This window comes from Homo sapiens, chromosome 9, assembly GCF_000001405.40.
Source record: "Homo sapiens chromosome 9, GRCh38.p14 Primary Assembly".
Lineage (NCBI taxonomy): Eukaryota > Metazoa > Chordata > Mammalia > Primates > Hominidae > Homo > Homo sapiens.
This window is the reverse complement of record NC_000009.12, coordinates 33,605,642-33,628,052: the sequence shown is the minus strand read 5'-3', so window position 1 is coordinate 33,628,052 and position 22,411 is coordinate 33,605,642. Positions and strand designations below refer to the sequence as shown.

At 42.4% G+C, this 22,411-nt stretch overlaps 3 pseudogenes across 1 annotated transcript, besides 4 other annotated features; 1 reads left to right on the top strand and 2 right to left on the bottom strand.

Moving 5' to 3' along the window:
* ANXA2P2 (annexin A2 pseudogene 2) lies at positions 2,519-3,828 on the bottom strand (annotated as a pseudogene). The gene has a single exon (NR_003573.1). The product of NR_003573.1 is annotated as an annexin A2 pseudogene 2 (transcript).
* Positions 3,487-3,986: an enhancer, noted in NCBI's record as "H3K4me1 hESC enhancer chr9:33624065-33624564 (GRCh37/hg19 assembly coordinates)". NCBI's record gives its function as "activates a minimal SCP1, AML or CMV promoter by ChIP-STARR-seq in naive H9 embryonic stem cells {active_cell/tissue: H9 hESC(naive)}" and the evidence as "EXISTENCE:reporter gene assay evidence [ECO:0000049][PMID:30033119]".
* Positions 9,506-9,514: a recombination feature (RSS nonamer).
* Positions 9,515-9,537: a recombination feature (RSS spacer).
* Positions 9,538-9,544: a recombination feature (RSS heptamer).
* TRBV20OR9-2 (T cell receptor beta variable 20/OR9-2 (non-functional)) lies at positions 9,545-10,208 on the bottom strand (annotated as a pseudogene). The gene is given in 2 exon segments: positions 9,545-9,848; positions 10,178-10,208. Coding segments are annotated over 2 exon segments (335 nt in total).
* On the top strand, positions 14,044-14,205 carry PRSS3P4 (PRSS3 pseudogene 4; annotated as a pseudogene).

Below are 22,411 nucleotides of genomic sequence, written 5' to 3'. Positions count from 1 at the left end.
CCAGGCTGGAGTTCAGTGGCTTGATCTCGGCCCACTGCAGCCTTTGCCTCTTGGGTTCAAGCAGTCTCCTGCCTCAGCCTCCTGAGTAGCTGGGATTACAGGCCCCCACCACCACACCTGGCTAATTTTTGTATTTTTAGTAGAGACAGCCTTTCACCATGTCACTGGCTGGTCTTGAATTCCTGACCTCAAGTGATCCGCCCACCTCAGCCTCCCAAAGTGTTGGGATTACAGGCATGAGCCACCGCGTCCGGCTACATTAAAGAATTAAATGTTGAACTATACAGAACAATATTTATGACAAATATGCAATGCATATATAGAAGCAATAAAATGAATACCTTTGCCTGAACCAATCAGCTTAAGAGTTAGATTATTGCTGAAAATTTCTCAGTCCATGTTACTCTTTTAGATTTCCTCATTGTTTCTCCATCATGCCCAGGTAGATGTAAACTGAAGTTTAAATTTGTCATTCACTTGCTTTGCATTATAGTCTGTAGCATTTACACAAGAATCTGTAAATTATGTAGTATTTAATTTTGTGTGTCTTTGAAATGTGTCTAAGAGGAATCAGCTAGTTTATATATTTTTCTGTAATGTTATTTTTTCATTCAACATTAGGTCTGTGATAATATGTTGACACATAATCTAGACAATTTACTTCCATTGCTATCTAGTATTACGTTATATTCATTGGCTAGAATTGATTCATTCTTGAATTAATACACACTAATTTTTCCCTGGGTGTTTGTGCTGCTACAAACAGTATGGTATTCTTGAACATGTCTCTGCTTACCTAGGTGGAAGATTGTTGCCATACCTGGCAATGTAAAGACTGAGTCTTCAAGTCAGCATGTCAACTTCATAACATAACAAAATGCTTTCCAAAGTGATTAAGCCAAATAAATGATCCCACCAACAGTTCATGAGTGTGTTCAAATGTTCCACATCTAGGACTACACTTGCTATTTAATATACTTTTAATTTTGCCAGTCTAGTTTGTTAATATTATCTCATGGTACAATATAGTTTTAGCTTGCTTCTTCCTGGTTGCTAAGAAGGTTGAACATATTTTATATATTATAGGCCACCAGTGTTGCTGTAAACTGCCCTTTGTCCATATTTCTTTTTGGTTGATTAACTGTTATTTATTTGTAACAGATTTTATAGACTCTGGATACCCAACGTTTGTCAGCTATATGTGTTCCTAATATCTTTCCAGTTTGTGGTTTATGTCTTTACTCTCTTTGTGCTACTTTTTGTTGGATTTCTTAATTTAGTAGAATGCATTATTCTTTTATTTGGGGTGAACATGTTTTTAAATTCTTTATATAAAAAAAACCCATAGCCCAAATTCATGAAGATATAATCCTTATTATTTACCAAAACACCTAACATTTTGAATTTTGCATTTAAGCATTTAATCCACTTGTGATTTATTTTAGCATATATTGTGAAGTAAGGTTTAAATTCATCTTTCCTTGTATGGATAACCACCTGTTCCAGAATAACTTATTGTATATTACATAATTCCTCCATATAGCTTCAATAACACCTCTATCATATGTGAAATTCCTATATATTCATGGACCTATTTTTCATTTTCTCTTTTCCATTTGCCTGTTTAATCACGCTTCTTTTTTTTTTTTTTTTTTTTTTTTGAGACGGAGTCTGGCTTTGTGGCCCAGGCTGGAGTGCAGTGGTGCTATCTCGGCTCACTGCAAGCTCCGCCTCCCGGGTTCACGCCATTCTCCTGCCTCAGCCTCCCGAGTAGCTGGGACTACAGGCGCCCGCCACCATGCCCGGCTAATTCTTTTGTATTTTTAGTAGAGACAGGGTTTCACTGTGTTAGCCAGGATGGTCTCCATCTCCTGACCTCCTGATCCACCTGCCTCGGCCTCCCAAAGTGCTGGGATTACAGACGTGAGCTACCGCGCCCGGCCAATCACGCTTCTTTCATTATCCTAAGTGATAACATAATTTGATAATTGGTAGAGCAATTCACGTCACTTTCTGTCCTTCTTAAATAATGCTTATTTTTGTTCTTCTTTTTCACTTAGTTGTAGATTATATGCCAAATTTCATGAAATAAATATTTTGTAGTTTGATTACTGTCGTATTGAATATATAGATAATACTGCAGAAATTAAAATAAACTTACTATTGGATTATTGGATTCACTTTTTCATGATCATGTTGTATATCTTTACTTATTTCAAACTTTTTTTTTTTTGTTTGAGACAGAGTTTCACCCTGTCGCCCAGCTGCCTGGAGTGCAATGGTATGATCTCAGCTCACTGCACTCCCGGGTTCCAGCAATTCTCCTGCCTCAGCCTCCCGAGTAGCTGGGATTACAGGCACCCGCCACCACGTCCGGCTAATTTTTTGTGTTTTTGGTAGAGACGGGGTTTCACCATGTTGGCCAGGCTGGTCTTGAACTCCTGACCTCAGGTGATCCGCCCACCTCGGCCTCCCAAAGTGCTGGGATTACAGGCGTGAGCCACCGCGCCCCTTACATTTATTTATTTATTTAGAGACAGAGTCTAGCTCTGTTGCCCAGGCTGGAGTGCAGTGGCATGATCTCGGCTCACTGTAACCTCTGCCTTCCGGGTTCAAGCCATTCTCCTGCCTCAGCCTCCGGACTAGCTGGGACTACAGGCGAGCGCCACCACGCCCGGCTAAACTTTTGTATGTTTAGTAGACCTGTTAGCTGGAAGCATGGTGAGCACCATTTCTGGACGCTCAGGCTGTGTCGGGCTTCAGTCGTCTCCACCACACAGGTACAGCAGCGCTTTCTGGTAGTCGCCCTTAGTGTCTTGCTGGATGTAATAGTACAGGGACTTGCCGTACTTTCTCTTGAATTCAGACCTAATTTTCAACATGTCCACTTCACTGCGGGAGACCATGATTCTGATCAGGACCTTATCTCGCGTCCCCTTGCCCTTCATGGAGTCGTACAGCTGATCAGCAAAATACAAGGGCTTGTTCTGAATGCGCTGGACCAGGTTCAGGAAAGCATTTTCCAGGTCTCCTTTAACCTCTTTCCTGATGCTTTCCAACATGTCATAAGGGCTGTAACTCTTGTACCTATCAAATACTTTCTGGAGGTGGGGCACGCTCCGCTCGGTCATGATGCTGATCCACTTGGGAACATCAGTTCCTTTCCTCTTCACTCCAGCGTCATAGAGATCCTGGGCATCTTGGTCAATCAGTTCATAATCAATGACAGAGCCATCCTCTGCTCTTCTACCCTTTGCCAGGGCAACCATCAGCTTGCGGAAGTCACCAGATGTGTCCGAAATAATGTCCTTCTCCAGATCAGTCTTGTACATTTCCTTGTAGACTCTGTTAATTTCCTGCAGCTCCTGGTTGGTTCTGGAGCAGATGATCTCAATGAGAGAGTCCTCGTCGGTTCCTAGCCCCTTCATGGAAGCTTTTAGCTCAGAAGCGTCATACTGAGCAGGTGTCTTCAATAGGCCCAAAATCACCGTCTCCAGGTGGCCAGATAAGGCTGACTTCAGTGCTGATGCAAGTTCCTTTTTGGTCCTTCTCTGGTAGGAGAAGACAATATCCTGTCTCTGTGCATTGTCGCGGTTGGTCACAATGTTGACAATGGTGACCTCATCCACACCTTTGGTCTTGATGGCTGTTTCAATGTTCAAAGCATCCCGCTCAGCATCAAAGTTAGTGTAGGCTTTGACAGACCCATATGCACTTGGGGGTGTAGAGTGATCACCCTCCAAGCTGAGCTTGCACAGGATTTCGTGAACAGTAGACATTTTGAAGGAAGCTGGGCCGTGCGCCGAGAGCTGAGAGCGTCCCCAAATGCTGAACACAGGTGAAGCTCTTGAGTCCGCACTTGATGAGCAGCAGATATTTTACAGAAAGATCCACATCACCCTCTAGTGGTCAAAGGGGCGAATTCATCCGATGCCCGCTGAGCTCTGCCTCGGCCTGCCTGGGTGGGGAGTGGCCCGCCCCGCAGCGAGGCAGCAGGGAGGCATCCCAAGTATCAGAGCGGAATTAAGAAAAAAGCAGCACTTGGTGTGGTACCAGGCACGTACTCCACAGCATTATTACTAGCAATTACTTACACAATTACTCAGCCATTAGTCTAATGCCGATGGTGGTTTATCAGTGCATTTTGCCTCCCTCAACCTTTTATAGTCCCCCAAGGCAGGTGTGCTGCCTAAATCTCTATCCTATGTTCTCTGCTTTTTTCATTGTAAACTCTATATCAAGGGATTGGAGGCACTTTCATTCTTCCAGTGATGCTAAATGTCCCAAAGGTGTACTTCTTATCCAGATCCATTTTCTGAGTCCATGACTTGTACATCCAACTGCTCCCTGCATATTCTTGTTTAGATTACTGTCCCAAAGGCACTCCCAATCTCAAAGTAAATCTTGATCTTCTTCCCACTTGGTCCTCCTTATTTGTCTGTCTGTCGCAGTCTCTTAATCACCACCCCCCACCCCCTGCATATTGCTGCTCATGTCTAATCAATTGCCAAGTCCTTTGATTTTCTTCCTTTTAAATGTCTCATTTTCCCCATATTTCTAACACCATCATCATTATCCCAGCTAAACTACTGCTTGCCTGAGCTAACTTTTTTCTCCGCATCAACTCTGTCCACACTGCTGGAGGGTGGCAGCATAAGCCCCCAACCCTCCGCCCAAAATATGCCACTTTGGCATAAGGATTATTTTGAGCTAGAGTCATTAAAGACAATAGCAGGTATAAGAGTACTCTGACCCTTCCCCTTTTCTTCTTGAAAAATGGAATAAGCCTCCCATATAAAAGATGTCTTATCTATACCAGAAAGAAAGAACATTCTTAACATGAAGGGTAGGAGGGGATGATGTTGAGGCCAAGGAATCTATACCAAAAAAGCTTGTTAAACTAACCCTCACCTTCCTAGTCACTTTGCCATTCAACCAGCAACCCTAGCCCAAGCCCCTTTTTCACCTTTCCACAATGTATGACTCTTTGCCCAACTGAGTATATGAGTATTGAATTCTAACTGCATATTCAGGTCTTCCTTTAATTATGGGGCCTTTCATGTGATGTAAAACTTATATTAAATACATGTGTATGCTTTCCTCCTGTTAATCTGTTCCATTCTCAGGCCCAGCCGAAAAACCCTAAGAGGGAAGAGGTAACATTTTGTCTTCCCTGCACAGTCCATTATTTCTTCACTTTGTGACCAGGGTGATTAAATACACAGATACACAGCCACGAATCTGATTACTACAGAAGTCAAATGTTGAAAACCTCAGTGTCTCCTGTTAAGCTTTATGTTGAATTCTGTATAATTTACCTTGACCAGTAAGGTTCTGAGTGGTCTGATGCCTTCCTGCCTTCTTCAAGTTTGCCCTGTACTCACCGACCTCCCCCCAGCTCCTGCCATGCTGCTGACTTCTTTTCTGTCATTAAACACACCAATTTCTTTCCTGATTAAAACATTTTGCATTGGTTCTTTAATCTTTCTTAAATGCCCTCGAATTCATTATCCCTCGTCCCACTTAATTAACTCTAGCTCATCTCGATGTAAGGTATTTAGGAATAATATTTAAAATTTCTTCCCATACCTTTTATTAAAAGGAGGATAACCATTAAATATACAATATCAGGGGCTTCAGACTCTCCAGGGAGTATTTCATCAATAATTACTTTCCAGAAATGCAACATAGTTCATTTTTTTAGGATAAAAGAGTCTTAACTGGTTTCCAAAAATGGCACCAGATAGGGGATTACAGATACAAGACACTCACATATTTATGGGTAGTTGAAATTGACTACTGGTCAGTTAATAGGAGTCACACTGCTTTCCACATTCCAGAATGGAAAAACAGCAGCAGGGGTATGAAGCTGTGAAGTAGTTAATCAAATATTCACCTTTGGACACCTGAGATGGTGCATGTACTGTAGCAAATGGGTTGAGACTCCTGGAACCAGCTCCAGAGATTATTTTTGACATTAAGAATGGAGATATCCAAGGATATAGAAGAATTAGAAAACCCTAGCTCCCTCAAAACTTCTGAAATTGGCCAGGTGCAGTGGCTCACGCCTGTAATCCCAGCACTTTGGGAGGCTGAGGTGGGCAGATCACAAGGTCAGGAGATCGAGACCATCCTGGCTAACACGGTGAAACCCCGTCTCTACTAAAAATACAGAAAATTAGCCGGGCGTGGTTGCGGGCGCCTGTAGTCCCAGCTACTCAGGATGCTGAGGCAGGAGAATGGTGTGAACCTGGGAGGCAGAGCTTGCAGTGAGCTGAGATCGTGCCACTGCACTCCAGCCTGGGCGACACGGCGAGACTCCATCTCAAAAAAAACCTCTGAAATTCTCCCCATGGCTTCTCCGTTACTGGGAAACACAGTGCCTCTGTGTGTGTGTGTGTGTGTGTGTGTGTGTGTGTGTGTGTGTGTGTGTGTGTTGGGGAGGAAGATGTAAGAGTCTATCTCTTACCTCACCCATCACTGCCTCTGAAAGGTGAACTTGATTTCAAGTACAACAAAGCCCAAAGAGTAGAATATAAAATCAGAACAGAAAGTCCAACACTCCAAAAAGAATTGCTCATGAAAAGTTTATGGCATTCAAAATTTATAGGAAATGTGATAGGATTTCATTTTGTTGGTACTTGTCCAAGGAAGACAGAACACAAATTTGGACTGAATGCTGTTCAACGCTGTTGTCTTCTTTCCTAAGGTAATGTAGGTAGGCAGTGGGCTGTGTCCTGACAAGTCAGCTTGTTTGGGAAAGGCAGGTCTGAACCCAGCACTGTTCCATGCTAAATGTCACTGAAACACTACACTCCTCAGCTTAATGTAGAGGGAAATAGTGACTGCATGAAATAGGAATGTAACAACTGTCTCCCTATTTCATGCCAGAGCCTTAAAAGCTCTTGTCTTTTCCATGCCATTAGTGAAGCGGTGGAATATTTTAAAAGAATTTTACTAGCTCTGTTCTCCAGGCTGAAAGCACGAACAGAGTAAAAGGCTACAATTAAAATGGGTCCTTGAGTTCAGTGACAATGGCACAGTCTGAGGTGACTGAACCCAGGTGGGGTATTTAACCACCAGCAGCACGTGGTCATAGTGGAGATGAAAAGCAGCAGCGTGTCCACTGCGGAATTTGCTCCCATCTTATTCCAGGCAGTTCCACCTTGGTCAGGGGCCAGGCGTCATCTCCATGCTTTCACGTTCACCCTTAGTGTCTAAACCCCTGCTCTCTGTTGCAAAGGGGTTGACAAGGGTCCAGGTCTGTTGGGTGGTAGGTTGTCCGCTGTGATTAGTTCAGCAGCCGATGTCTATATGAGGATGGTAGCAGGTGACCCACTGCTATTTCACTCCTGGTTTTGACTATAAAATGTTCTTAATCCTTTTCTTGTAAGAACTCTAATCTATTCATTTATTTGTTTTATTTTCTCTTCTTTTTGATTCTATATGCATACAATTTTATTTATCTTAACCTGTGGTTAATAACACACAGGACTTTCTTGTCAATGAATAATTACTTATTTAAAAACATAATAGGAACTTGTAAAATATCTCCTCCTCAACATTATGCAAGATAGACCTTTAGAATATTTAAATGTATAGCTGTGTAGTTCTCTCTCATTCTATCTCCTGCCATGCCCCAGCCTTATAAAAATCCTGAACTTGGGTCATTATTATTCCCTGCCAGTAGTGTGTTGGTAAAGGGTTGACAACTAACTCTCTGGAGGAAAATAAAGCAAAGCGTAATTTGTTGTGTTTGCTGATTTCTGTAGTGTAAATACCCTCACTATGGCCAGTTTCAAGCTAACAAAATGATGTCACTAAAACTGGAGTTGGGAAAGATGTATACAGTCAGCTCCCATGAGCTGATAAGGTAGGCTGCAGCATACAAGTGGTCTTTGCTTTCTTTTCAATATAATTTGATCTAATATATTTTAGTCCTGAAAATTACTTTCTTGACTTGTTTTTAGCTTTATGAAAAGCACGTTATACTTTGCATCATCTCATTAGGCTTAGTTTTTACATTTGCTATTATATTGCTAAGATTCACCTATAACCTTGCTCTTCACTATAGTTCATTCATTTTGACTCATATGAATATGCCGCAGTTTATTCATTCACTCTTTTCAGTGCATATGTGGGTTGGTGCCATGTTTTTCTACTGTTTGGTGCTGTTGAAAACACTTTTGTATTTATGTCTTCTGATATGTGTATGCAAGAGCTTCTCCTGATGTAAACCTAGGAGTGGAATTGCTGAGTCATGTATGCAAGAGCCTCTCCTGATGTAAATCTAGAAGTGGAATTGCTGAGTCATGGGATATAGGAATCTTCAACTGTGAGATAATGCTGAACTGTTTCCCAGTGGTTTATAGTACTTATGCTCCCATCAGTAATTTATAAGTAATCCTATGAATCCATACCCTCGCTAACATTTTATATTTCTAGACTTTTTATATTTTGCTAATCAAGTGGATATAAAGCTATGTATCATTGGATCCTGATCATCAATGAAGTAAAATATCTCTATATGTTTATTGGTCATACATGTTTCTTCTATTAAATGTATGATCATATGTTTTGCTCATTTTCTATTGGCTCATACAGATTTGTGGTCAATGTAAATGTTTGGTTTCTCCTAGGAAAGGATTTTCACTGTTCCACTTACTGTCTTCTAGCTACTGGCAGAACTTTCCAACTCTTTAGACAAGCCATGTTGTCTGAGGTCTTCCTTCTAGGTACCTCTGCCCCCTCTTTCCCTTGACACCTTTCCCAGGAGCCAGGTCACCAGCACCTTCCCTAGGGATACGTTCCGTATGGTGTGTACCTAGGCATAGAGGTGCTCCCCTCCCTTTGTACCGAGTCTTACCCTGTTCATTCATCAACTGAAACACCGTGGAGAACATGATGGCATTCAACATTTACAGGAAATGTGATAGGATTTTATTTTCGTGGTCCTGGTCCAAGGAGGACAGAACACAAATTTGGAGTGGATGCTATTCAATGCTGTTGCCATCCTCCCCTAAGGTAATGTGTTCATGCATAACTCTCTACTTGGCTGCCTCTTGGTTATCTTTGTCTTGAGAGCCCAGCATGATGACAAGAAAGAGAGCCAATTGCTGAAGTTTATTATAGGAAGTACACAGTGGTTATACAACTGTCTTCATATGTACCTCTAGGATTATATGTAGATCTATTCAAGAACACATGACTAATGTGGCAGAGTCAGGGCAAAATTCTAGGTTTTATAATTTTCAGGGAACTTTCCATGTTCACTTACCTCTTTAGGCCCAACTCTATTGCCATTTCGTGGGTCTCAAACACTACACCTCCTCCATACTCCACACTCACAGTGCTTCTTTTCTTTTTCTCCCCCTACCCATCCCCTGCCCCACCCCCTGCACACACACTCCCAGATGTCTCAGTCAGGAAAGCTGTGGTTTTCCATTCTCCACGCCTCCCTTCTCAGCACTCAGTGGGCCTGCTGGGGTGGAGGAGCAGCTGCAGGGGTTCTTGCCGCGGTCTCTGATCCCCTCCTGGCGCTGTGTCTCTAGCACTGCAGATGTAGAAGCTGCTGTCTTCAGGATGGGCACTGGTCACTGTCAGAGCGGAGAAGGTCAGGTTTGGATGGTTGATGGGAAACTTGTCCTTCTTGACGCCTTGCTCGTATGTGACCTCGGAGCCCTCATTGGAAGTTGCCATCAGCATGAGGCTCTGTTTCCGGAGCTGACGATACCAAAACATAGTTGTGGCCTGAAAGTCCAGGGAACGGCACTCGATGTTCACAGAGGTTCCACTCTTACAGATAACCCTGCTCGGATGTTGAGAGACGACAGCACTAAGCCCGGAGCCTGCTGAAACAGAAGCCAGAGAGAGGAGAGCCCAGTGGGAGCCGAGTCAGACAGGATGCCAGGCCGAGCTCAGCCTCCCTCCCTCCCCGTGCTCCCAGCTCCTGGAGAATCCTGTTTGTTTTGTGCAATCTTCCTGTCATCTCCCTAGGGCTATAATCCCCTATCTCCTCTGACTGGCGGCTCTCACCTTACCCTTTACACCTCTAGAGAGCAGGGCCGCTCCCTCTCCCTTCGATGAGCATAAACAATCCACATTGCCTGGCCACCGCTTGACCATGGCAACACACGCACATGCCCACCCAAGCTCCCAGGTAGAAGGAGGCTCATACCTGGCCCCAGAAGCAGCAGAAGCAGCAGCATCTTCCGTGATGGCCCCACACCACCTTCTCTGGGGAGAGTTGTGACCACTGTCTCCATTCACCAGCGAGGAGGGATGACTGATCACAGAATCCCAAGGATGCTCTAGTCTGCCCCCTGGTGGTAATCTTTGCTCATGACCCGTGTTACATCCATCTCTCTGCCTGTCAAAGAACCATACAGGTCGGCGAGGTGGCTCACGCCTGTAATTCCAGCACTTTGGGAGGCCGAGGCGGGTAGATCACAAGGTTAGGAATTCAAGACCAACCTGGCCAACATGGTGAAACCCCGTCTCTACTAAAAACACAAAAATTAGCCAGGCGTGGTGGCGGGCGCCTATAATCCCGGCTCCTCGGGAGGCTGAGGCAGAGAATTGCTTGAACCCGGGAGGCAGAGGTTGCAGTGAGCTGAGATCGTGCCACTGCACTCCAGCCTGGGCGACAGAATGAGACTCCGTCTCAAAAGAAAACAAAAAACCCATACAGTGTCTAAAGTGGCCTAAAGATTTCCCAATTCAACTTCCAAATTTATTAAAGATACACTGAGACGTAGAGCATTGCAATGACTTAAGCGAGTTTCTTGTAAGGAAAGGAGTGTATGTTTGGGTAATGAATGGCATTGGAGTCTGCTGCTTCTGTTTCATATCCTCAAAGTAATTACACCAAGACAACTCATGGTTGTTAATCACTAGACCTACAGGTTGGCACTACCATAAATATTGATAATGCCCAGGCCAGTGCCTCGGCTGGAAGTCCAATGTTTCTTCATAATCATGTTGAAGCCACTTCGTCATTTTCTAAATGAGATAGTTACCTCGTGAGTATCTCATGACAATTTCCCTCACATATAGATGGACTTAATTCTAAACATTCTAATAACATTTCTCGATTTAGCTTGTATGTTTCTGTGTTAATCACTGTTGAGGTTGTGAGAATAATTAGTTACATTTATTCTCTTGTAATGGAGGTCATACTAAGTACTGGACAGTGAAACTAGTTTCTAGGAGGCATAAGAAATTCTTTGATTTGAACATGCTGGGATACTTGTTTTAATGGATTGACGTTGAAAATGTGTAGCAATTACAAGGAGCTGGAAAGTTGTTTTGAAAGCCCTATGTTTTCATTTTTATAACAGCCTCCCAATTGTGCTTTCATTTAATATTTAGTTCTACTTCTCTGGCATAGGTAGCTAGAAAAGATAAGATTAAGACTTCGCCCATCATATTATGTTTGTGCAATAGTGAAATCATTTTATAACAAATATAGCTATTGCATTATGTTAATATTGACATATCTATTGAAGGGCATCTGTATGCTCCTGTGGCTGCATTTTTATTTCTTGGGTATGTTGGGCCTCATTAAAATGAGGCCACTTCATACTGTAACTGTACTTTTTCTGCAAAGAGTAAGTAAGGACAGCTTGCTATGGGTGACCTCTGGCCCAATATTATGATATGTCTGGGAGGGAGTGGCTGGAAGACCTTCAGATCGGAAGAAAATCTTCCTATTTATTTTGAGAAACACTAATTGTCAGGTACAGATGGTCTCATGATGGTTCAATGACTTTTCAGCTTTACAATGGTGCAAAAGCAATATGCATTTCAGTGTGCTCCTTGACTTATGATGGGGTTATGTACAGATAAGCTGGATATTGTAAGTTGAATTATGATGTTTTCAATCTATGCTGGATTTATCAGGATATTACCCCACTGCAAGTCAAGGAGCATCTGGATATTCCTGTGGTGTTTTATCACTGTGTCAACCTAGCTAAGCAAGGAATGTGTTTCAGATAACTTTTTTTCCTAGTATGGTTCTGGGTTAGAGTTGAACATGAGGGAAGAAATGCATGAAGTTTGTAAGGGGAAAGTAAAACAGCTGCCACTGAGTTCTGAAGTCATCACTGGCTCCAGGCAGTGAGGAGTAGCATCAAAAGTGCCAGTGAGTTCCAATTTATGCTGACTTTCCCCTGCTTCACATCCAGCTCTTTATACCGACTGCCAGCCCTGCTGACCAGGAGGGACTACAGTCCCACTACCAAACTTGTCTGAGAACTCACAGGGCTGTTGGCACATAGAGTCAGCCATCTTCCATAGATTCCTACACCAGCCCCTTCAGGGTTCCATGTAGTGCATGGATATACCCAACTTAATGCAAAACTTAATGCAAAGTCCAGTTCATCCACCTTCACCAGAGCTGGTTAGAGTTGTGTTTTCTGACCCTTTTCAAACTTTCACTTATCCATCTTCTCTCCAAATTGTGTCAGGCCTAATTCCTATAATATACTCTTTTGTTCCTTAATGCTCATGGCGGTTTTTCTTCCTTGACACTTCCATTTGTGTTATGGGTTTGCCATAGCCCAAGCCATACATTGTCAACAGCTAGTATGTGCTATGACTTTTCATTTTTTGAGACTACTTCAATGCCATCTCTTAAAATTAGTCAATGTGACCAGTTTTCTTGGTGTCTGGGGGACTTCAGTATCCATGAGAACTGTTGGAAAAGGAGATAGAAGTTAGAGTCAGAGGCATGGGACCAAAGGGCTGTGGCACAAGAAAAGCCATGGTATTGGGGTCTGATAGCCCATAATAGGGCTCTACATCTTTGCCTGGGATTAATCTGCTACCAGGAATCAAAGACCATGCAGCAAAGAAGCATGCTTAATGGGGCAGACACAGAATATGATGGATCCTCTTTCTGCTCTGAGTTGGTATAGTAAAGTTTTGTGCAAAAACAGTGACGATTAAAGATGATGGTTAACACATAGATAGGTAATTGTAATTAAGTATTGGTAAAATAAAACAATAATACTTCTAGTTGTGATAGACCTAGCATTCTGATTATCCAAAATATTGGAAATCATGAAGGGAACCATAGGTGTTAATTGTTCCAAAGTTCGCATAGGCTTCAGGAGAAGGGTAACGATAAGACTAATCTCAGATTTTCTTAACATAATTATATAATAAAATGTTACAGTTAATCATGAAAAAATGAAAAGAACTGTGGACTTCTGAAAGGCAAAATAATGAAATGACAAAAATAGTGAACAAAAATAAGGTCATGGACAAGGGAAGAAGAAACCAAAATGTGAGAAAAATTAATGTACAAAGCAAAATAAGAAACATAACTCAAAACCAAGGAAATCACCTACTATAGAAAACTATACAGAAATACATTTAAGACAATGGACTAAGGATTCTAGTTGTATAAATCATGAGGCTGAAAAAATACACAATGCTTATGAAATACCCACCTGAAGAATAAAAACAACAAAAAGGCTACATGTAGAAAGGTTGAAAAAGAAATACTAAACAAATACAATCTTAAAAACATGAAAGAGTTTTATTGACGTCATCCCAAAAGGACTTCAATGCAAAAAGAGCAGCAGGGAAAAAAATAAGAGTACCAAGTAATGACAAATTCAAATGACTGTGGTGTGGTATCATGCCTGTAATCCCAGCACTTTGGATCACTGGAGGTCGGTGTGGTATCTGGTCTTCAAAGATGCCAGCCTGATGAAACACACTGGCCAGTGGTCATCTTCCCATGAGTGCCCTTTGCTTGAATCCGAGCTGGCTGGATTGTGGTGGAGGTGACACTGCATATTTCCCAGGCTGGGCTGTAAGGAGATCTGAACCCCCGCAGGGTACCTAAGTGCCCTGCAGACACAGAGACTTGGGAGCCACATCCAGTGATGCTCACCAGGGGTGGGGTGGCAGCGCTCCCTCTCTTGCCTGCCTTCACTGTGCTTATTAAGGATTTCTAATTAGCAGGAAGCAACCGCAGGCTGGGAGCGCCACCCCTAACATACTACTGACTTCTCCCTTCCTATTTCCACTCCAGTTGCTGTCCCCTTTGACGACGATGACAAGATCATTGGGGGCTACACCTGTGAGGAGAATTCTCTCCCCTACCAGGTGTCCCTGAATGCTGGTTAGCACTTCTGTGGTGGCTCCCTCATCAGCGAACAGTGGGTGGTATCAGCAGCTCACTGCTACAAGTCGTTGGAGCCCCTGACTGCAAAGCTCCCAGCCAGGCTGCCTGGGAGAGCTTGGCTTCAGCCCAGGGAAGTACTGAGTATGGGTAAGATGAATTGGAGAGGTGGTGGAGAAGAAAACTTGTTGACAGCAGCTGACTCTCCAGAGCAGAGAGTGAACACAAGACAGGAACCGCTCACACTCAGGCCAATCCACGAAACAGCAAGGGTTGTGGTCATAAAAGCATGCAGGGATGATCTTGGGGTGGTCAGAGCTAGTGAGAAAAGCAGGCAAGTACCTCACCTACTGGTTGTGATGACAAAATGAAAAAAAATTCTTAACTTGTATGAGTTACAGGCTGTATACTAAGTTACGTGGTATATAGTAAGCACACAGAAATGATTCACTGTTATCATAATTGAAGGACAGTGGTTTGGTGTGCTAAGCACTAAATACAAGCCAGAAAGATGTCTTAGAGAAGCAGACAAAGAAATCTATAGTTCAGAATGAACAGTACCAAGAATGGCAGGTACTCCAAATTGAGCTTGGCAGCTGGATCTGAACCTATCCTACACATCTGAGTCTACAGTATGAGGTAACAGTCTCCACCTATAGCTATCTTCTCTGCCTGTAAGGTCATTCCTTTTTGAAGAAAGCTGACCTCAGACTATATTGTGATCATTTAAGGAAGAGCGCAAAATACTGGAGAAGGCTAGTCTTCAAGCTCTAGATACAGAAAATCCTCATATTCTTGGGTGTTCCTTTCAGAAAGAGAGTCAGAGCCACAAGCACTGATCCAAAAATCCCCTTCTCCAAAACAATTTTCCTTCTTCTACGAAGGTTCACCTCCCTCTTTAGCGCACACCGGTGTCTACAGTTGCTAGAGCAAGAGCCTTTCCTTATCCTCTAAGACAGGAGTTCTGTGAAGACCCCATGACAAGGGGACAAAATGAAACAACATGTTTAGGGGCAACACAGGAAAAGCCCATATTATCAATGCTCCAAAACGTGGCTACCTCAGGCTTGGCCAGTTATTTGTGAGCAGAGAGGTGTGTCATCTACATGGCAGTCATGGCCTGGATGGGTCTGGAACTGTGGCAAGGGAAGTCTCTGAGACAAGGTGCCAGGAGAAAGATGAATTCAATCATCTATTTCTGCCAGGAAGAAAAGCAGCAGGAAGGAATCAGAGGCACAGTTTGTCCTCTGGGGACCTCTGCCTTGATCCTCAATAAATCTCCTTTTAGATGTCACCTGCAGCAATTCCCACACTTCACAACGATCTCCATGGCTTCCTTTGGCCTTATGGTCAGCTCTGCCAAGATCTGTATTCTTGGGCAAGACAGAATCTTTCTGAATCTCAGTCTCTTCCTCTATAAATGGAAATAATTATGCTCTGCACAAATCACAGTTAGCATGTTTGTGGGAAGTTAAACTGTGAAACTCGGCATAAATGAAAAGCAATGTACCACTGTTGCTTACGTGACAACTCTTGTAAAGCTGTCAGGCACCATGCACTATCCAAGTATAGCCATGTTAGGTATGAGCCCATCAGTGATTAGAGGGGATACGGGGTGGAGAGCGGGTCTCTGAGCAGTGGATCTCATGGCTGTGGGGAAGTTGGCTCAGCGGCCATGCCAGGAACTGAACCCGAAGGTACTCTATGTGTCTTCTCAACTCCATGGGCCCCACTTTGGCATTTTTTCCCAATTCCCTCTGGTTTCCATTTGCTTCCTCCCTCTAGCCCCCTGGCCATGTCCAATTTCAACACCAAGTTTCTGAGCTTTTCTCATTTTGCTCACCATCTCCAGAACATCCCTGCTTCTTTTACCTTTCAAAGAATTCAAACTTGAACTCTGCTCACTCCTGCCCATCACCAACCTAAGCTCAGAGTTGCTGAGAACGGAAAGTACTCTCATAAGGAAGCTCCTCCTTTCCTTACATCATTAGACTTGAGCGCAGACGGCATCTCCATCTCCACACTGCTCTGGCCAGCTTGTGCTTCAGTCAATTACACAACTGTGTCTTAGTAGCCTTGGTGGGGTCCAAATCAGGATATTCTCTGGGAAGATTCACTTTGTACTGAGCTCAGCATAATCTCACTGCATCTAAAATAGAAAACTCTAGACCCACCCCTCCACATCTTCGTTATTGAACCCAATATGTGACCCATTTACCATATGCTAAAATCTCTACCTTGAACTGACAATTTACAAAAGAAGATATATGGGAAATCAGCACATTAAAAGATGCCCAGCATCATTAATCATCAAGGAAGTGCAGATCAAAATTGCCTCCTGACATGATTATAGACCTACCAGAATTGCTAAAATGAAAAAGGCTAATCACTACTAACACAACAGCAACTCTCATACATTACTGTATGGTGTAAAATGATACAACCATTTTGGAAAACTGTTTGCAAGTTTCTTAAAACATTTATACATACCTCTTCCATTTAACTCACAACATGTACAGAAATGCAAACACATGTCCACAAAAAGCCTTGCACAAAAGTGTTTACAGCAGCACGCAACTAGAAACAACCCAAATGTCCATCCACTGGGAAGTGAATAACCAAACTGTAGTATGTGCATGCAACTGTCTTCTGCTTCTGGGCTAAGTTCTTTGCTTTTAAGCACTTCTGGGATTAGATTGGACCCACCCAGATAATTCCAGATAATCTTACTTTAAGTCCCACAAACACCACCATCCCCTGCACCACCTCAGCCCTCCTGCTCTTCAGAGCTCAGTGCACAGGGCTCATTTCCTCTCAGATGACCTTCTCCACTAAGTCAGTTTATACAGTGTTCACTTCTTATGCAGAGCTAGACCAGCTTCCCACATGTTCCAGGGCAGACTCACTTTGAGCAGGCTGTATGTGTGTGTGTGTGTGTGTGTGTGTGTGTGTGTGTGTGTTCCTTGCTTTCTGCTATAAATTGAAGATTGTGGAGGGCAGGGCTTTTATACATTTTAAAATTTAAATATTAGTCTTTTTATTATTGAATTGTAGCAACTTTTAGAAAATATATTCTTGACATAAGTCCCTTGACAGATACATATGAATATTTTCTCTCAGTCTGAGATTTCCCTGTTTCTTAATAGTGTCTTTTGATGGTTAGAAGACTTAAATTTTAATGAACTCAATTTTTTTGAAACAATGTGGCCAGTGCTTTCTGTCAATTCCTTAACAAATTTATGTCCACACCCAAAGTCATAAAGATATTCTCCTAGTTTTTCTTCTAAAAGCTTTCTAGTTTTACTTTATTTATGAGTAGGCCTATGATCCCTTTGGAATAATTTTTATATAGGGTGTGAAGTAAGGGTTGAGGTTTGTTTCCCCCTCATATGGATATCTAGTTGTTTCCACATTATTTTTTGAAAAAAATTGTTTTCTTTTCCTATTGAATTGCTTTTGGGTTTTTGTGGAACAAATTATTTGACCATATATGTGTGGGTTTATTCCTGGAATCTTTTTCATTGATTTATTGTGTTGTCTTCACCAGTACATTATAATCTTGAAGACTGTGACTTTATCTTAAATCTGGAAGTCAGGTAGTGTAATGTCTCTAAATTTCTTCATTTTCAAAATTCTTTGGGCTATTCTAGGTTGTTTTTTCCATATATATTTTATATATTCTAGGATGAATTTCCATATATATTTTTAAATCAGCTTGTTAGTTTCTATTTTTAACAACCAACTAGAATTTGGAATGGTATTCCATTGCATCTATAGATATATTTGGAAAGAAGTTATCTATTAACAGTAGTTTTATTTTTCTCTGCAAAGTTTTAGTTTTCATTATAGTCTTCTTACACACTTTTGTTAAATGTATCCCTATGTATTTGGATGCTATTATAAAAGGCATTCAAAATTTTTTATCTTCAAATGCTACATAATTATGCATGAATGTACTATGGGTAACTTTGGGTTTAACCAACATGGATTCACAGAACTTTTTGGATTTGTATATTTACATCTTTCCTCCAACTTGGGAAGTTTTTGGCCACTACGTCTTCAAATAATTTTTCTGCCCTTTTCTCTTTCTTTTGTCTGGAGATTTCAATAATGTATATGTGTTTGGTGCATGGTGTCTTTTAGGCTCTGTTTACTTTTTCTCACTCTTATCTTTTGCTCCTTAACTCGATAGTTTCAATGGACTTATCTTCAAGTTTGCTAATTCCTTCTTCTGCCTTTTCAAGTCTGCTTTTGTATCCTTCTAGTCAATTTTTCTGTTAGGTTACTCTATTTTTCAGCTCCAGAATTTCTATTTGGTTCTCTTTACAATTCCAATCTCTTTGTTGATATTCTTATTTGTTTATATATTGTTTTCTTGATTTCCTTTATTTCCTTGTCTGTGTTTTCCTTTAGCCCTTTAAGCATATTTAAGACAGCTGTTTTGAAATCTTAATTTAGTAAGTCTGAGACCTGTGTTTTTTCAAAGATGAGTCTGGATATTCATTTTCTTGCTTTGAATGGGCTATGCGTGTTTTCCCATTTCCTATATGCTTTGTAAGTTTTTGTTGAAAACTGCAATTTGGATTAAATGGCCACCTCTCCCAATCTTTGAAGAATGGCTCTGCACAGAGGAAGACCTTTGTTAATCACTCTAATGTAAATGCTTATGGTCTTTGGACATACACCTTCCATGGGCCTATGTGTGCACTATTTTTCCAAATATCCCACATAGACAGCTGTTATTAATGTCTTAATTTCCCTAGGAGATTCACTCCTGCCTCTTCTAGAGGCCTCAGCATTCTATTGCATTCTTTAATCAAAAATCTCTTTCCGCTGGCATCCCTGCTTCTGTAGTTTGGTACGTTTTTCACAAGCCTTACCCACTCTTCCTGCAGATTTCACTAGCCTGAGATTTGAGCTAGTCAGTTTTGCCATCCAAGTTCTGATTTAGGCCACACAAAGACCAACTCCTCAGCCACCCCCAACAGATGAGGATGTAACAAATCTGGCCTCTGCATTTTATAAGTTGAGGTTTCATGGCTGCTAGGTATATTTCATAACTTATTTTATTTTTAGCTGTTACTCCACTCTTTACTATTAAAACTTCCTAAGCATACAGATATTTCCAAGGAAGGTCTTGGAGAAAATTAAGTAGAGGCAGAAAAAAGCTGGCATAGAGATCCACATGGAGATTTGGAGGAAGTCATGGCGTTACGACAGTAAAATAAAAGTTTCTTTGTCCTCATGCAATTCAATCGTTCTTTTAACAGGCATTTACTGTGTGCTTACTCTGTAAGAGTCATTGGAGATAAAGCAGTGACAAAGTGGAAAAAAATCCTGCCCTCATCAAACTTACAATCTAGCAATGAAGGAGAGAAATACACAAATAAGGATGGTATTTGGCATGCTGAATGATAATGAGGGCTGCAAGAGAAATGGGGCAGGAAGTTAATAGGGGGTGGTGGTTTGGGGGTGGGTGTCAACACTGTTCCTAATGGATGATCACTACAAGTGATCTGGGAAGACATTATTGACAAGGTGACATTTCAGCAGAGATTGGAACAGAAGAGAGACCATCATTTGGGTATCAGGGGTAGCAATTCAAGGCAGAGGGAAGAGCAAATGCCAAGCCCTGGGGCAGATGCATCTTCGTGCATTCAAGGAGCAGCAAGGTGACCTTTTATACTGGAGCAGAGTGAGCGAAGGCCCAGCTCTGGAGTTAGATCAGAGAGATAACCAGTGGCCAGCTCAGCCTGGACTTCATGGGTGATGGGCATAATTTGGCTTCTACTCTGATGAGTGGAAATATATTGGGGTTTTGAGCTGGGGAGTGACCTGGGAGGCTATTCTGGTGCTGGCTGGAGCACAGACTGGGTGCAAGGGCAGGAGAAGGAATATTGTTAGTAGGCAGCCACAGTCATCCTGTCAAGAAGTGATGGTGCCAAGAACACATGAAGGCAAAGAAGTGGTAAGACACAGGCACATCCTGAAGGTAGGGATAGAGGCTTTGCTGATGGGATGGAGAAGAGACAACCAGGGAATAAGTCAAGAAATACCACAAAGCTGTATTCTGAACACCTGTCAGGATGATGTTGCTTTCACAGCAAAGGGGTACTGAGGGACAGTAAGTTTGGAGAAGTCTAAGGTTTGGTTCTGACACGTCAATTGTCCACATGAACAGTTTCAGAGGAGTTAGTTTTCAGGGGCCTTTTAAATATCAAAGTAGAAATAACCAGTGCTCAGGAGGATATAAGGGTCTGAGGCTCAAGAGAAAGGTCATAGCTGCAGGTATAAATGTGGTGGCTCATCGGGGAGTGAGCTGTCCAAGTTCTGTGCAGATTTCAAGGGGTAAATTCAATGAGCCTGTTTGTGGCCACAGCCTTCCTCAGGCTTCCCAGTATCCACATTACCACAAAAAGCCTCAGTGGTGATCTACTTGAGTCTGTCCCCACATGTTGGGGCTTGAGTTGTGCAGAATCCCCATCTTGCTCCCTTTCTCCAACATGACAAGAAGACCTCAGTTAGCCAAAATGTCCTGAAGAGGGCTGAGGAATTTGGTCTGAATCATCCCACAAATTCATGGTACAGGAAATAAGTGCTGCTCTTGTCGTTGGCTCTAGAAAGATGATATCGGCCGGGCGCAGTGGCTGATGCCTGTAATCCCAGCACTTAGGGAGGCCGAGGCAGGCGGATCATGAGGTCAGGAGATCAAGACCATCCTGGCTAATACGGTGAAATCCCATCTCTACTAAAAATACAAAAAATTAGCCGAGCATGGTTGTGGGTGCCTGTAGTCCCAGCTACTCCGGAGGCTGAGGCAGGAGGAGAATGGCGTGAACCCGGGAGGCGGAGCTTGCAGTGAGCTGAGATGGTGCCATTGTACTCCAGCCTGGGTGACAGAATGAGACTCTGTCTCAAAAAAAAAGAAAGAAAGAAAGATGATATCAACCAATGTTTTGCCATGAGACTTTGCTTTGGATTGGGATTTTAACTCTGGGGTCTGGCTCCAGGCCTCTTGCCTTCCTCTTTACGAGGTTGACTGGGGATGGTTAGCCATCCAACCAAGTCCTCATGTTTCTGAGAGTCATTCCCAGCCGTATCATCCTATTAACCATTGAATCCACTGTCTACCACTGCCCAAGGCTGGGATGCATTTTTTTTTTTTTTTTTTTTTTGGCTAGCTTCATTGAGATATAATTGACAAGTAAAAATTATGTCTTTAAGGTGTACAATATATTTTGATATGTGTATACATTGTGAAATGATTACCACAACCCAGCTAATTAACATTCCCATTAACATACATAGCATTTTTTTTTTGAGACGGAGTCTCACTCTGTCACACAGGCTGGGAGTGCAGTGGCACAATCTTGGCTGACTGCAACCTCTGCTTCCCAGGTTCATGCAATTCTCCTGCCTCAGCCTCCTGAGTTTTTTGTGGTGAAAATATTTAAGATCTACTCTCTTAGTATATTTCAAGTACACAATACATTATTATTAACTAGAGTCTCTATGTTCTACATTAGGTTTCCAGAAAGTTACTCATTTTATATTTAAAAATTTGTACCCTTGAACCAATATCTCTCCATTTTCCTCACCCCCTGACTGCTGGTAACCACTCTTCTACTTTTGGTTTCCATGAGTTCGACTTTTTCAGATCCCATGTATAAGTGAGACCATGTAATATTTATCTCTCTGTGTGGCTTATTTATTTCACTTAGCATGACTTCCACGTTCATCCACATTGTCACAAATACTAGGATGTCCTACTATTGCTTGAACCCAGAGGGTGGAGGTTGCAGTGAGCCGAGATCGCACCATTGCACTCCAGTCGGGGTGACAACAGTGAGACTTCATCTCAAAAAAAAAAAATCTTTGAAAAGAAGTGAGGATTTGAGGCTTGGCACAGTGGCTCATGCCTGCAATCCCAGCACTTTGGGAGCCTGAGGTGGGTGGATCATTTGAGGTCAGGAGTTCAAGACTAGCCTGGCCAACATGGTGAAAGTCCATCTCTACTTAAAGTACAAAAATTAGCTGGGCATACATCTGTAGTCCCGGCTACTCAGGGGCCGAGGCAGGAGAATAGCTTGAATCCAGGTGGTGGAGGTTGCAGTGAGCTGAGATCACACCACTGCACTCCAGCCTGGGGAACAGAGTGAGACATTATCTCAAAATAAAATAAATAAAAGAATAAAAAGAAATGCAGATTTGGGACAATGGGGACACTTAGCTGATGCACAGCGCAGGTGAGCAGTCCTTTTGTGACCATGAAGACAC